The 16,584-nt window shown below is 45.5% G+C and overlaps 4 annotated features.

Moving 5' to 3' along the window:
* Window positions 15,165-15,708: an enhancer, noted in NCBI's record as "NANOG-H3K27ac-H3K4me1 hESC enhancer chr2:202813665-202814208 (GRCh37/hg19 assembly coordinates)". NCBI's record gives its function as "activates a minimal SCP1, AML or CMV promoter by ChIP-STARR-seq in naive H9 embryonic stem cells {active_cell/tissue: H9 hESC(naive)}" and the evidence as "EXISTENCE:reporter gene assay evidence [ECO:0000049][PMID:30033119]".
* Window positions 15,165-15,723: a biological region, named in NCBI's record as "NANOG-H3K27ac-H3K4me1 hESC enhancer GRCh37_chr2:202813665-202814208".
* Window positions 15,429-15,723: an enhancer, noted in NCBI's record as "tiled region #8332; K562 Activating non-DNase unmatched - State 20:ReprD". NCBI's record gives its function as "activates a minimal TATA promoter and a strong SV40 promoter by Sharpr-MPRA in K562 cells {active_cell/tissue: K562}" and the evidence as "EXISTENCE:reporter gene assay evidence [ECO:0000049][PMID:27701403]".
* Window positions 15,709-16,250: an enhancer, noted in NCBI's record as "NANOG-H3K27ac-H3K4me1 hESC enhancer chr2:202814209-202814750 (GRCh37/hg19 assembly coordinates)". NCBI's record gives its function as "activates a minimal SCP1, AML or CMV promoter by ChIP-STARR-seq in naive H9 embryonic stem cells {active_cell/tissue: H9 hESC(naive)}" and the evidence as "EXISTENCE:reporter gene assay evidence [ECO:0000049][PMID:30033119]".

Below are 16,584 nucleotides of genomic sequence, written 5' to 3' on the forward strand. Positions count from 1 at the left end.
GGATGCTCCTCTGAAGCCATTTCTCACACTCCCCGGAAGCCAGCTGTCCTGCTCTTGCAAAGTCACTGAAGAATGTCCTGGCACAGTGAGGAGGAGGCTCGGGCAGAGCCGGGTAGCCTGAAGGATTTGGCAGAACAAAGCCCCACCAAGCAGGACCCTGCGGTTTCATTTTGTTTTCACTGACATAATGCCCTTCCTCTGTGAAGCCCAGCTCAGGCCTGTGTGAGACAGACTTTCCTGAGGTTTGGATACCTACCACAGGCTCAAGTGACTGCCGGTCTGTCCAACGGCTGGGGCGATGTTTTTGAAGCTTTAGAGAGAGCTCTGACCTGCTTCCTACTAATGGAAGGGCTGACAGCCTGGAGCAGAGCCAGGTCCAACAACTGGGCATCCTCACAGCCTTCATATGTCAGGCTGTGGGGGGCCCAGGGCTGGCAGCAATAGCTGTCATGGGCCTGCATCCTGGAGGAAGAGAGGGAGGGCAAGATGAATGTGGCCAGGACTTTGATTGCCTGCCGCCTTTGACAAATGACAACGGTTAGGAGAAAGAGTTCACCAGGAAAAACAAAATGCAACTCACAGGGCAGCCCTGGAGCCCTTTGAGGAGAGGTACATTTTGTCTCCCCTGGTGGCACAGCCATTGTCCAAGGCAGAGAGAAGCAGGCCCCTGAGTGTGGCGTGGCCCAACCAAGCTTCCCTATGACTTGATTCCTGTGGTAGGCTGAATAAAGGCCCCCAAAGATACCCAGATCCTAATCCCTGGAACGTGTGAGTGTTACTGTTGGCAGCAGCAAATCGGAACAGGTCTCTGTTCTGTTCTGTTCAGGTTCTCTCATCAACCTCAATTCTTGCCTTCTCGGAGGAAAAAATTCAACGAGGGGGCGTAAGGGAAAGTAAAAGACAGAAGCAAGTTTTTGAGCAGGAGTGAAAGTTTATTAAAAAGTTTTAGAGTAGGAATGAAATGAAGTAAAGTACACTTGGAAGAGGGCCAAGTAGGCAACTCGAGCGATTCAACTGCACTGTTTGATCTGTGACTTGCGGCTTTATACGTTGGCACATGTATTAGTCCGTTTTCACACTGCTGATAAAGACATACCTGAGACTGGATACTTTATAAAGAAAAAGAGGTTTAATGGACTCACAGTTCTGTGTGGCTGGGGAGACCTCACATTCATGGCAGAAGGTGAAAGACACGTCTTACAGGGTGGCAGGCAAGAGAGAATGAGAGCCAAGTGAAAGGGGAAACCCCTTATAAAACCATCAGCTCTTATGAGACTTATTCACTACCATGAGAACATTATGGGGGAAACTGCCCCCCACGATTCAATTATCTCCCACAAGTCCCTCCCACAACACGTGGGAATTATGGGAGCTACAATTCAAGATGCGATTTGGGTGGGGACACGGCCAAACCATATCAGCATGCTTCCGGGGTCTGCACTCCTTCTCCCCTGATTCTTCCCTTGGGGTGGGCTGTCCGCATGTACAGTGGCTGGCCAGCACTTGGGAAGGGCTGCATGCACAGTGTGTTCACTGAAGTTGTATGCATGCTCACTTGAGGCATTCTTCCCTTACCAGTCAGGTGTAGAGGAAGGTCACATACCAGTTAAACTCCGCCATTTTGCCTCTTAGTGCACATGCTCAAGTCCACTCACCCAACTCCTGAGATCTTCCTGCTGATCACCCACTTCAGGTGTTTTCTTTCTAATGGAAAATTGCCTTTTCTTAGTGCTGGCTGTGACTAATTATTATTTTAGAGAGACAGTTTAACAACTGCCTGACCATCACCTAATGGTTACCTGACATTCCTGGTTGGGGTGGGGGCCCTATCTTTTCCTGCTCATCCCTGCCTGCCTACCTACTGTAACATTATCTCATCTCGCAAAAGGGACTTAATAGAGATGATTAAGTTAAGGATCTCGAAATGGGGAGATTATCCTGAACTTGTCTGAGTGAGCCTTGTATGTAATCACAAGTGTCCTTATAAGAGGAAAACAGAGGGAGATGTGGCTACAGAAGTGATGGCGATAGGAGGCCTGAAGCAGAGCTTGGAGTCATGCGCTTTAAAAATGGAGGAAGAGGCCACAAGCCAAGGAATAAAGGCAACCACTGGAAACTGAAAAAGGCAAGGAAACGGCTTCTCCCCTAGCACCTCCAGAAGGAACTAGCCCTGCTGACGCCTTGACTTTAGCACACTGAAACTAATTTCAGATTTCCTGTCTCCAGAAGTGTGACAGTATAAATTTGTATTCCTGCAAGTCACTAAATTTGTGGTCATTTGTTATAGCAGCCACAGAAAACTCAGATGGTTCCCAAGTGCAGGAGATGCCCTAGTTGCAGGGCTGCCGTTTATGGCAGAGAGACTCCTGAGAGACAAAAGGGAGCACCAGTGCACCTCTAGGCAGTTATTCCCACAGATTGTGCATCTCTGGCCAATGCTAGGAGTGGCAAGGGCTGGGATGAGGAGGGAAAGCAATAGACATTTACTGAGCATCTGCTATGTGCTGATATATCATGTTCATAATTCTAATTTAACCCTTGCAGCAACCTTATAAGGCAGATGCTAGTACTCTGTTTTCTGATGAAGATGGTGAGCTCAGAGACTCCTGATCACCTGCCCAAGGTCGCACAGTTGGTCAGCAGCTGTTCCTCTAGGAAAGTTTACTTGGGGCTTCCCTTCATCCCTGCTCTATATATCCCTTCCTTATGGATCCCCCAAAGTGAGAGATTGGGTGAGGCAGTTCTTATAGCTCCAGTTCCAAGGAGTTCATTTATTCATTGTCCTATTCATTCATTCACTAAATATTTAGCCAGTACTTCCCATATGTTAGGTCCTATGCTATGGGAATCAGGGCTCATCCTGTCTCAGATCACTTACAAACCAGGAACAGACTTTACAAAACAAATTATGCCGGCATTTCCCTCTAAAAGTCCACCACCCACCTCGGACAAGGACGTTGGCACAGAGGGTCATGCACAGTCCACAATGAGAATTCTTTTATTTTATCAAGGAGAAGCTAACATTTGGCCTTGTTGGTAACTTGTCAGAACAGAGGGAAGAGGGACTGGCATCCTTCATGAGGAGGTGATGCCACTAGTTTTCCTGAAGGTGTGCATAAATTGCATCAGGCCCCAATGCTCTCTCACGCTACTCCCTGCACATCAAGAGTAAGCAGGGGTTAATGATTGGCCAGTTTACAGGTACAGGCTGTGGCCTGTACAGTACTGCTGCTAATCTTGATCCAGGGTTTAGCTTGGACTTTGCTTCCGTAACTTCAGGCTCTGTAGGGGCAAGAACAAGGCCTAAGGCTTGTGACTACATCAGCTGCTCCATATCTGGGGCATAACAGGAAGGCATTGTGGAGTTTCAACTGGGTGTTCCTCTCTTTATGTCCTCTCCCAGCAACGATGCTGACTTTGCGTCCCATTTGGTCTTCTACTGTTGGTTTCTTCCAATCGAATGCTTTCAGTTGCAAATAATGAAAAATTCAATCCAAACTGCTCACATAAGCAAGGTATTTTATCGGCTTCGTTTAATCTAAAGGTCTAGAGTAGGGCTGACTTCTAGGAAGAGCTGTTCTAGTGGCGCAAACAATGTGAACAGGCTGGGGTTTTTTTTTCCTCTGCATTTCCCAGCTTCCTTTCCTCATCAGCCTTTGCCCACATGAGGCTCTCTTTCTTTGGGCAAGATGGCTGCCAGCAGTACCCCAAACAGAGTCTTGTTGGCCCTGATGGGCAGATGAAGGTGATGGTCCCAACTGGGAGCCAATCAAGAAGGCCAGGAGGAGAGTGATGCACTGATTGGTTTAGAGTAGATCACGCGCTCCCTCCCTAACACTGGGGGTGGAGCACCTGTGGCACACAGCTGAAAATGGGAGGGAGGATGACTTCCCGGAGGAAGTTGGGGGTATTGTTAAGAAGGGGAAGGGGAGAATGGATAGATATTGGGGAGCCAATCAATAAATGTCTATAAAACTTATAGGTTTTGTTGTTGTTGTTGTTTTGATTTTAAACGAACAAATTCCCTGCCCTTCTTAATACTTCCTGGGAGTGAATAATCTTGCAAGGGCTTCCTTAATTGGGTACTTATGATATGACACTCTCCTTAACACTCCCATGAACACATTTCTTCTTCATTAGGGCTTCAGGAGTTTGAAATGCCAAGCTCTTCCCTGTGTTTTCTGTCTGCGCTTCCCCTAAAAGAACCAGGGCTGCAATATTGCCCTTGATTAATCACAGCCCAATTATCTATGTGGATTATCCTTCTTTCTGTTCTCACATCCTGCCTGCCTTTTAGCCACCCCCTGCTCATTAAGAACCTGCCTGCCTTTTAGCCACCCCCTGCTCATTAAGAAGACTGTCTAAAAGGATGGGGTTTAAAAAAAAAAAAAAAAGGAAGTACAACTCCAAATCAGCAGTTCAGCTCCTTACTAACCCTGGTAAAATTTTTGAGGAAGACTTTGAAAGGAATGATTGCTTGAGATTATCTTGAATTTCCAGCATACATGATTACTTTACTGACTCCTTCCCATGTCCTGTCCACCCCCACCCCAAGTCCCAGCCTCCTTAGAGATATTGAAAACAGCTAAATCCAGAAAAGGCACATTCCTTAGACACCCAGACATTTCAATGGTTCCATTCTTATTCTCTCATTTCCTAGGTATCTCAAGTAACTTTTTATTTTTAAATCAAGCCAATTGTTTTTGAGACCTGTTGAAAGGATAATGGCCCAACCCCACTCCCCAAGTTGAGAACTCAGATCCCACCTCTCAGTTTCCTAGCAAATGAGTCAGAGAAGCACAAAAGCCCTTGCTAAATCAGGTAAACAAAGTGAAGGGTGTGGAGGCAGGCTGGGGGGACCAGGCATCCCTTCCAGCATGTCGAAGTACTTACATCACCTTCCCCGAGCATTGATCACTATTTCCACCCACACTGAACTGGATTCACCCTAACTCTGGTGTAGGCTAGACAGGAATTGGTAATGATTTCCTAGGTTTTCAGTCTCCTTGGCAGAATTTGAACAAAAGGAAAAAGATATCTTTTCTACTTTTTAAAGGTCAATTTTTTCCCCAACATCTATAACAAAAAAAAAAAAAAGTGATTTTTCTCTGGGATTTGCCTTTCTCCTGACCACAGCTGGTGGAACAGAGACCGCCATCTCGGCCACGAGATGAGAGCAGTCGGGCAGTTATTAGAGAGCTCCAGCTCCTGCACGCCATCATATGACAGCAGCCCAGAAGCTTTAGGTTTGGTAATGAACGAATGGAAGTGTTTTCAAAACCAAGCCACCGGCCCCACATTCAGCCTGTAAGTCTTGGTAGAAAGTAGGGGGCTGGCATTTCCTTTTACTGGCAACACAGCTTGGCCTAGGTGGCCCTGCATGTTCGCACAGAGAGTTACGGTAAGCATTGACAACCTCTCCCAGCTATGTTTAGAAGGGGCATAAGCAGCCCATCCCCTTGGCAATGTTTGTGATGACTGTTCTCACAGCAGCAAAATGCATGCTGGACTCAGAAACATTCTATAATCCTTATTTGCAGGTGATAATAGAATACTAGTTGTTGCTGTTATTCTTATGATCCCAGTTTTACATGGGAAAAAACTGAAGCCTAGAAAAGATTAGTACCTGTAGTTTTCCCAAGGTCATATCACTAATAAGGACACAGCCAGATTTCGACCAGGACCTGCCCGACTCTGTGCATCATCCAACCGTTAAGTTTTACTGCCTCTCCACTCCCTTTCCCCGGAAGACCCTAGAAGGGCAGTCAGGCCTGCCTTTTCAAGGCCCTGGAGAAAGGCCAAGCTTCCTTCCTGGATCTTGGAACCTCCTCCTCCTTAGGATGATGTGGTTCTCTAAGCCCTGAAAGTTTCACCCAGGACCTCTAGGTGAGAAGCGACTCCCCAACACCAGCAGGTTCACAGAAACCATGATGCCCAGAAGGGGAGCAAACCCTTCCATCGGCCGGGGCTCAGGAACCTGAGGATTAATTGCTCTGCAAGCGGCTTGTTAGAGGCTGTGTTGGCAGATGAGGAGAGCAGCAATAGAATCAGCCAATTAAGCAGCCAATGGTGCTGAACTAAATGTGACCTCGTACTTAATTGTGGATGTTGTTTCTCGGCAGTTTCTCACCAGTCTGGGTTTGGGGGAAAGAAAGGGAAGGGTGAGGGGAGGGTGAGTGGTGACGGGAGGGTCCTATTTGTAGGGACGCAAGACTCTCATTTCTTTCTTTCTTAAGGGGACAGTAGCATCAGGGATTCAGTGATTTCCAGCACAAGAAAGTTGAGGAAGGGTGGCCTGTCTCTGCTGTATCCCTGGGGCAGCAGGCAAGTGGAAGGCCTAGGCTTAGATGACAAAGCGACCAGCCCTTTTCAGTTGAATGAAACATTTCCAAACAGGCTGGAGACTTAGACTCAGGATCACATCTCTAATAGGGAGGAGGAGACACTGATAGAGGCAGGAGCCTGTGCTGTGCTTCATAGAGAGCTCACACCATTTGGAAACCTCGTTCCTCTCTACTCATACCCTAGCCTGGTGATTAGGGAGACCCTTGGTCCCCTCCATACTTTGTCACTAACATGCCTAGAGCACCAGGTTCAGAAACTTGTGGGCCTAGAGAATAGGGGGTTGGGGGGCTCAGACGGAGAGGGAGATACTAATGTCTCCACATCTCCACAGCTGGACCCGCCGATCCAGCTGCTTCCCTACTGCCTTTGTGACAGCTTCAGGGGTGTGCTGCTTGGATCTCCCCTCAAGAGATGACTTGCCACTCCACTGCAAGGAGTGCGGTGGGCTGACAGCCTCCAGTTGGTAGAGCCTTTGGGACTCACCCCGGCTCTGAGGTTACCTCTTCTTGGTCAGCCCTAGCTAATGACTGAGCATGGTGGAGGGTGGGGCTTGGAGTCTCTACCAGCATGGCATTCCCAGTGAGTTGGCTGAGAGAGACATCGTCAGATGTGCATTGCATTCTCAGACTCTCCCTACCCAATTCGGCTTCCTTGCCCTTTCATCTTTCACAGGCATTATCCCTCAACAAACCTCTTGCTGCACTCTTGACTCTGTCTCAGCATCTGCTTCCCAGCAATGGGCTTTGGACACACTCCCCCAGTACGTGGCATCTTGGCATTCGCAGAAACAGCAGCAGCAGGTCATAAAACCTAGGAAGGTCCCTCTTACCTTTCTTCCACCCTTCTCCCCTGAAGTGGGTCAAAAGACACTCAGAGAGGGGGCCCCCCTGTACCTGGAGGAGAGGAACATCCTTATGTCTGAAAACACAGGGACACAGAGAAAAATATGAACAGGCCTTGCTAAGTTCACCCTCCCTAGTTTATTGCCATTAGATCATGCCCCCTTGTCTAATCATACTTCTCCATGACTACCCATCTCTTCATCACGCTGAGCGTAAAAATACACATTTGCCTGTTTCTTTGGGTCTTCATTTCCTCATGAAGACTCTTGTGTCATGTAAAACTTAAATAAGTTTCTATACTTTTCTTTTGGTATCTTTCTTTTATTATAGGGGCCTCTGCCATGAACTTAGCAATGTTTGAGGAAAGCAAGCTTTTCTTCCCTTATACCAGAAGACACAGCCTTCTAGTGAGGATATGTCCCAAAACCAAAGGGCTGTTTCTTTCCTATTTCTTCCCAGCCCTATTCAGATTCTCCAACAGGCATCCTCTCCCTGCCTACTCCTGTCCGTGTCCCAGGGAGCAGACAGTGTGGCCTGCAGCTCTGCCAACCAGTGCCTACCATGTCTTCTCCTGAATCCCAGACTAGTGGAAAACCAAACAGGTTGCTAAAAGTTGGGTTCTAGTCAACAAGAGGGAAAATGTCACAGGCTGGCAAAAGCATTTTTACCTCTTACAGGTGAGACTGTGAGTTTGCAGAGTCAGCACAGACATTGGCTGAGTGCCTCCACAATGACGAAGATGCCACAGGTAAGGAGCGCCTGTCTTTGGAGCAGACAGTTCTTTAGGGATGGGATCAGGTGGTGCAGATGCATGAAGAATATAAAGCACCAGAGGTACAGCAAGGCACCAGGGAACCCACAGGAGCAAGAGGCCAACTCAGCTTGTGAGAGCCCTAGGAGGACTTCCTGGTGCAGGCAGCATGAGGGTTCTGTCTGAAGTGACAGGAAGGATGGGGTGTTATAAACGGAGAGAGAGGCAGAGATTCCGAGTGAAGGGAGTGCAGGAGGATTCAGGGCATGGTGACTGGCCCAGCATGAGTGGGGTACTTGGTGTTTTGAAGACAAAGTTAGAATGATAGGGTATCTTTAAATAATGGAGGACCTTGAATGCCTAGGATATTTAAATTTTATTCTATTTGTACTGGGGAGCCATGAAGAAATGTCAGAAGAGGGGCAATGTGATCAGATTAGTGTTTTAGAAATATAGGTTCTTGACAGGACAAAGGGGTAGAGATTAAAGATGGGTAGAACAGTTAAAGGCTGTTCCATCAATGAAAGCAAGGATGGTGATGGCCTGACTAGGTCAGAGAAATAGCCATGGTGAAGAGGAAAAAGATTGGAAATGTATTACAGAGGAGAATAACCAACAGGATTGGATATAGGGCAAGCTGAGGAAGAGAAGGTGCCAGAGTCATGAGTCTGAATAATCTACTAAGTGACCTCAGAACAGGATTGAGGGTAAGTGGAAGAGTGTGAGTCAGGATACGTGGAGGCTGAGATGAAAGCAACTGTACACGGAGTTCTGGAGTCTTGGAGAAGGATCAGATTAAAGATACAATTCTGGAAGTCAACCTCATCGTTATCTTCACACCTCGGGTTCAGGTGCTGAAAAGGAGAGGGAGAAAGAGAAAAAAGAAGAGAATCCAAGACCAAACCTTGGGACAGCCTCCATTTAGAAGGATGAGTCCAGAAATGATTGAGATGACATCATCACAGTGCAGTGGGGCCAAGATCTGGAAGAAGTCCCAAGTAGAAGGGCATGGTCAACAATATCAGATGCTATAGAACGTCATGAAGGATGTGGCCCACTGGGAGGCTGCCAAGTGGAGAACACTGAGGTGGGGTTGGCCTTAGTAAGTGTGGCTGCAGCAGAAAGCTGCAAACGGAATACAGTTTTGCTTGGGTCGAGTCATGAGCTGAAGGCAGGGAAATGAGGTAGAGTGCTGATCTCTCTTTCAGGAAGTGTTTGTTGAAGAACAAAAGAAGAGAAGTCTTAAGTTTATGTAACAACATGTTCCAAAGAGTTATTCATCTAAGAGCATACATTTTTAAAACTTTTTATTCAAAAATAATTTCAAGCATGCAGAAAAGTTGCAAGATTATAAATCATACATAGAAAACCCATCCACCAGGCATGGTGGCTCACGCCTGTAATCCCAGCACTTTGGGAGGCTGAGGTGGGTGGATCACTTGAGGTCAGGAGTTCGAGACCAGCCTGGCCAACATGGTGAAACCCCATCTCTACCAAAAATATAAAAAATTAGCCGGGTGTTGTGGTGCATGCTTGTAATCCCAGCTACTCGGGAGGCTGAGGCAGAAGAATCGCTTGAACCCGGGAAGCAGAGATTGCAGTGAGCCAAGATCGTGCCACTGCACTCCAGCCTGGGCAACAGAGTGAGACTCCATCTCAAAAAAAAGAAAAAAAAAAGAAAACCCATCTACTTTTTACCTGGATTCATATTTTGCCCATTTGTTTCATCATTTGCTTTCTCGTTTTCTCTCTTCTCTCTCGATACACACACATATAAATACATACAAATATATAATTTTACCTACCCATGCACATATATGTCAAATGTTTCTCTGAACCATTTGAGAGTAAGTATAGTTGACCCTTGAATAATGCAGAAGTTAGAAGCATCAACCCCCTATGCAGTCAAAAATTCTCATGTAACTTTTGACTCCCCGGAAACTTAACTACTCATAGCCTACTGTTGACCACAAGCTTTACCAATAACATAAATGATCAATTAACACATAAGCTGGAGTAAGCTAGAGAAAAGAAAATGTTATTGAGAAAATCATAACAAAAAGAAAATATATTTACTATTTATTAAGTGGAAGTGGATCATCAGAAAATCTTCATCCTTGTCATGTTCACACTGAGTAGGCCGAGGAGGAGGAGGAAGAGGAGGAATCAGTCTTGCTGTCTCAGGGGTGGCAGAGATGGAGGAGGTGGAAGGGGAGGTGGGAGAGTTGGGCACACTTGGTATAACTAAAATCCATGCACGAGTGGTCCAATGCAGTTCAAATCTGTGCCATCAAGGGTCAACTGTACATATTTCATGGCCCTTTAACCCCTAAAACCATCGGTATGTATTTACTAAGAATAAGAATAAGAGTACTCTCTTACATATCCATAGTATATTATCAATTTTATTAAAGTTAACATTGATACAATCTTTTTCTCAATTGACCAATATCCTTTATAGTGTAGGGGAGGAAAAGTACTCTTTTTCTTACCCATCGCAAGGTTCGTGGCTGAAGCCCTTATAACAGAAGACATTAATAACAAGAGAAAAACATACAAATTTATTTAATATATTTTATGTAACATGAAAGCCTTCAGAAATGAGGACCCCAAGAAACTAAATATAAAACTATCTGAAAGGAGACACAAACAGGGGTGTTTTTGACCTGAATACATTTAGTAGGATTATTTGATGACATGGAAGTCTGTTCTCCTGAACATCTTTCTGAATTTTGGCAATCCCAGCATCTCACACTGGTATTCTTCTTTTTACCAGATGAAAATGATACACATATCTCGTCGTATTTCCTATCTTGCCTTGGCTGCCAGAAAGCTCAAAGCTAAATTTAGTACTCTATCACAACAAATATATTACCATAGATTTTTCTTCTATTTATATCTCCATTTACTATATGTATATATTTTTCTATTTATATCTCCATTTATTATATCTTGATGTGTCTCTGGGTATAGCTGTCTACATATGGATTTATTACGTAAGTGTCTTTAATATTAAACCTCCTAAAATTATTTTTGGAATTTCATGGGGTAGCTGCCTCATAAATAGAAAGTTCCTCAAGAGACACTTGTCTCATTCAGCTACTTATCTACCCAATAAAGAGCTAGACCAATACGTACCACATGTAAAAGCTAGACCAATATGTTTTCTCTTGTTACTGTTACCTACCTTTCCTAGTCCCAGCTATAAATGGCCTTGCCACAGAAGATAATTTGGTTTGAGGAGGAACTCTTAGTTAAAATAGAAATGTCTCTCTTTGGACTGTGTCCCAAGTCTTTGTGTTTAATTTCTTCTGCAGGCTTCAAGTCTCATGCTGACAGAAGCCAAAGGGAATGCTGGTCCAAAGAGGCACACCCTTCCCAAGCTGACTTTTGTAGAGAGAAGGAAAGAAAAACCTGACCTTGAGGAGGTAGGTGCTCCCCCAAGCCATGCCAGAGAAAGGAAAGTAGGTCGGAGGGCAGCAGTTTCCTCAAAGATGACCTTTCTCTCTTTTTATTGAGACAGAGTCTTGCTCTGTCACCCAGGCTGAAGTGCAGCAGCGCAATCTCGGCTCTTTGCAACCTCGACCTCCCAGGTTCAAGCAATCCTCCCACATCAGCCTCCCGAGTAGCTGGACTACAGGTGCATGCCACCATGACCCGCTAATTTTTGTATTTTTGTAGACATAGGGTTTTGCCATGTTGCCCAGGCTAGTCTTGAACTCCTGAGCTCAAGCGATCTGCCTGCTTCAGCCCCCCAAAGTGCTGGGGTTACAGGCGTGAGCCACTGTACCTGGCATGGAATCAAATTTTAAAGCTAGAAACGGTCTTCAGAGATTGTCCAGTCCCACTCACTTTACAGCTGTGGAAGCTGAAGTCCAGAGGTCACAGAGCAGGTTAATGGCAGAATGGGCCCCCACCCAGGTCTTCCCATGGCTGGAGAAACATCCTTCCCTTTCCACTTCATCTTCACATGTTCCAGGACTAGAGGTGTCCTGAGTTCAGGGACCACCAAGTCTGAATTATCACTTCTCTAGAACCCAGCAAAGTACCTGGCATACAGCAGGCCCCTAATAAATGCATTTTTTTTTTTTTTGAGATGGAGTCTCACTCTGTCCCCCAGGTTGGAGTGCAGTGGCATGATCTTGGCGCACTGCAACCTCCGCCTCCCGGGTTGAAGCGATTCTTGTGCCTCAGCCTCCCCGAGTAGCTGGGATTACAGGCACCTGCCACCACACCCAGCTAATTTTTTGTGTTTTAGTAGAGATGGGTTTTCACCATGTTGGCCAGGCTTATCTCGAATTCCTGGCCTCAAGTGATCCGCCTGCCTCAGCCTCCCAAAGCGTTGGGATTACAGGTGTGAGCCACCACGCCCAGCCTTATAAATGCATTTTGAATGAATGAGCCATCTGAATTCTCACCTTCTTCCTGGAAGTTTGAAGACCAATGTTTTTGAAATTCTTTGAAAGAGACTTATAAGATTCTTAATGTGCACACTCTATCATCTCTGGCATGGACAAGAAAATGCACTGACAGTTCTGGTGAGCAAGTCTTCCCTGAACTTCTCAGGGGCTGAGACCGACATTATACCTTACTTACAATATGCAGACTCGGGTGGTCTGCATCCTGTGGCTCACATGGGATAGGGGCTGCCTGAAAGGTGTATGCGGCTACTGCATTAGCATAGCAGAGTGGTAGGAAATGCAAACTTTGAAGCCAAGCTTCTGAGGTATAAGGGCCACCTCTGTCACTAGCTGTGTAATCATGGACAAGTTACTTACCCTCTCTGAGCCTCAGTTTCCTCCTCTGTAAAAGGGGGATAATATATACCTACCTTATAGATAGATATATATACATGGGTATGTGCATGTGTGCAAGTTCTTGGAACAGTAGCTGGCACCTGGATGGTCTGTGCAAGTGAAGGCTATTATTATTCTTGTTGTTCGTAGTGGAGAAAGGGAAAAATGACCCCACCTACAGATTTCTTCTGTAAATTCTCTGGTGTCTCTTAGAAGCACGCAGAAAGTTTTGGGATCATAGCTTGTAACTACAAGTGGCAGCTCTCTCATATGGAGCCAGTGTAGACTTGGCTCCAGAACCAGCCATCAGACTATCTTCGCTGCTTTGGGGTGTTGCCTCTATCACAGGGGAAATGGCTTCAAAGTTCCTCACAGATCTGTCTGTCTTTTGTTCTTGGTCCCACTTTTGAGGACTGAGCCAATAGTCAATGCAGAGTCCCCACTGTGAAAGAGAAAGGTCGGCCAGGCGCGGTGGCTCACGCCTGTAATCCCAGCACTTTAGGAGGCTGAGGCAGGCAGATCACCTGAAGTCAGCCTGGCCAACATGGTGAAACCCTGTCTCTACTGAAAATACAAAATTAGCTGGGTGTGGTGGTGCACACCTGTAATCCCAGCTACTCCAGAGGCTGAGGCATGAGAACTGCTTGAACTTGGGAGGCGAAGGTTGCAGTGAGCCAAGACTGTGCCACTGCACTCTAGTTTTTTGGGGTGTTTTTTTTTTTTTTTTGGCTTTGAGACAGGATCTCACTCTGTTGCCCAGGCTGGAATGTAGTGGCACCATCATAGCTCACTGCAGCCTCAAACTGCAAGCCTTGAACCACTTCAAGTGATCTTCCTGCCTCAGCCTCCTGAGTAGCTGGGACTACATGCACACATCATAGTATGCCTGGCTTTTTTTTTTTTTTTTTAATTTTTGTAGAGATATGATCTCACAATGTTGCCCAAGCTGGTCTCAAACTCCTAGGGTCAAGTCATCCTCCCACCTCAGCCTCCCAAAGAGCAAGATTACAGGTGTGAGTCACCATGCCCATCCCACTCTGGCATGTTGAGTATTTTGGGTTAAAGGTATTTGAAAAAAAAAGCAGGTGCAAAAAGATCACTCTGACCTTCCATCTGTTTCTTAAAAGCAGAAGAGGCTATTTCCATGTGAAAGATGCCCTCCCTATACTAGAAGGAAAGCAATGTTCTTATCAAGAATGGATGGTTGAGACTGAGAGAATTCTACACAGAACTTATTAAAATAACTCTTATCTTTATGCCTCCCCCACATAATTTAGTTGCTTTTTCACAACTTACTATTCTTCGTCCCATTCAGTATATAAGTAATTGACTCCAACTATTTCTTTGAGTCTTCATTTCCTTATGAGGGTTCCATGTCACATAAAACTTGTGTTAAATAATGAATGCTTTCTTTTCTTTTCTGAGATAGAGTCTTGGTCTGTCGCCCAGGCTGGAGTGCAGTGCTGTGATCTTGACTTACTGCAGCCTCTGCCTCCCACGTTCCAACAATTCTCCTGCCTCAGCCTCCTGGATAGCTGGGATTACAGGTGCACACCACCACACCTGGCTAATTTTTGTATTTTTAGTAGAGACGGGGTTTCACCACGTTGGCCAGACTGGTCTTGAACTTCTGACCTCAGGTGATATGCCCGCCTTGGCCTCCTAAAGTGCTGGGATGACAGGTGTGAACCACTGCACCTGGCCAATGAATGCTTTTCTCCTGTTGATCTGTCTTGCCAATTTCATTCTCAGGCCTATCCAAAACAAAACAAAATTCTAAGAGCGTAGGGGTAAAATTTTTGTCTCTCCACATAGTATCAAAGAAAAGAAAGGGAGCCTGAGGTTTTCTAGAGGCAGGTAGGCAAGGGAGTCACCCCAAGTCTTTTGGGAGCCATGTGGAAGTATTATCTCAGAGTATTCAATGGTAGGATAGCCCTTTGCAGTTTCCCACTTTCAGAACATAAAAACATGGGGAATGAGGATTTCTTAATTGTTGCCATTTTCCAAAAACACAGGGCTTAAATTTCATATTGTCATAAGGACACATACCTCCATGGTCACGAATGTATAACCAGGGATACCTAAAGCCCCAAAGTAAACATGGAAAATCTCCCCAAAGTATTCAAGTAATTTTACCTGAAATTGTGGGGGCAGAATCATTATTTTACGTAATACAAAAAGAACGAAAATATTTATGATTTTGAAGCTAAAATATTCAAAGAGGTTTTTAGAACCCTTGTGCTAAATTTCTAGCCCCTCACCTCAACCATTTGGGGTACCTGTGTACCCCTAAAAGTTTGAGAAGCACTGGTCACTTATGCTGTTATTGAATTCTCATAACTCTTTGATATACATGTTTTTAATCAAAGCTTCATAGGGACAATGTCATCTTTCATGTCATGTTTTGTTTCTTCATGTACCTCCATAACTGCCTTTTTTTCTAACCTCAGAATTTTGTTTGAATGACAAACTTTTTGTTTTGGAATATTACAGAAACATTGGAGAGCTAATACAGAGAGATCCTCCATACTCTTCACCTGTACTCCCAGGTTCCGCTAATGTTAACATCTTACATACCCACAGCACATTTGTCAAAACTAATAACATTAACTTTGGCCTTTACTATTAGCTAAACTACAGGCTTAAATTCCACCAGTTTTTCCACAAACATCCTTTTACTGTTCCAGAATCCATTCCAGGATTCCACATGGCACTTAACATAAATGCCTTTTGCTTGACTGGAGGAACCTTTCATGAGTCCCACTAAGTGTCAGGCATTGCCCTACATCTTGAGGAGCTGATGAAACAATCTCCGATTGTTTCAAAGGGATCACATGGGGAAAGTGGCTCATTGTCTGCTCCGTGCCACACAGGTGTGGGCAAGGCCTCCGCGCCGGCAGCAGTTGGGTTCCCAGCCCCTGCTCCCTAAGTCAAGGCAGCAATCTGAGCCCAGGACGTGACCCGTGTCGGTCTCCGCGCTGGGTGCCCTTCCGGAGCCGGCACTGGAAGGTTAGCGCCTCTGAAATCAGATAAAGGACGTCAAGCCACAGCTGTGTTTGTTTTATAAATTAAAGGGCGAATCATTAAAATGACTGTTTTCCTGAAAATAAAGAGATTAAACAGTTCTCCCTTCTCCCCTGCTGCCTCCCCGCCTCTTTTTCCAATTTGTCCCACAGGACTCCAGATTCGTGTTAATGGCGAAGAATTATCTCTGTTTCAATCTTGGGGCCTGGGCTGGCTCCATAACAATTATAATCTCCTATCTGAAGCGGCCTGGAGGCAAAGGGCCGGTGAGGCTGAATTCTTTGCAGAATTAACCGCCATTCAGATGGATAGGAGAAGAATTGAGCGGGGGCCTTCAAGGTGATTCTCAACTTTCCTTAGGTACTTTTCCTATGGCCCTTTTCTGCAGAAGGTTCGGTGTCTGTTGGAATTTAAGGTTTTAACACAGAGAGAAAGAAAAGAGGATAAAATGAGCATGTGAAAAGTGCATGAAAAGCACCTGGCATGCAGTAAGTACTCAATAAACATTAAAGAGGCCGATGAGAAACATTTGTACTTAAATTAGAAGACAGTGGGGAGCCGGAAGTGTTTCTCAGAAGGATGACAGGGTTGGATGGAGTGGGGGTCTTTCAAGGAGCTTATGAACTAGGAGGGGCTTACATCACGAACACATCACATGACATACGGCGGTGAAGAGAGCATGCGTCTAATAATTATGCGGTCACTCTACCTGCATGATGTCATTTCATCCTCACATAAAGCCTATCCGGTAGCCACTATTTTATCCCCAATTTACAGATGGATAAACAGATTAAAAAATATGTCCAGCTGGATGCGGTGGCTCACG

This window comes from Homo sapiens, chromosome 2, assembly GCF_000001405.40.
Source record: "Homo sapiens chromosome 2, GRCh38.p14 Primary Assembly".
NCBI classification, from domain to species: Eukaryota; Metazoa; Chordata; class Mammalia; order Primates; family Hominidae; genus Homo; species Homo sapiens.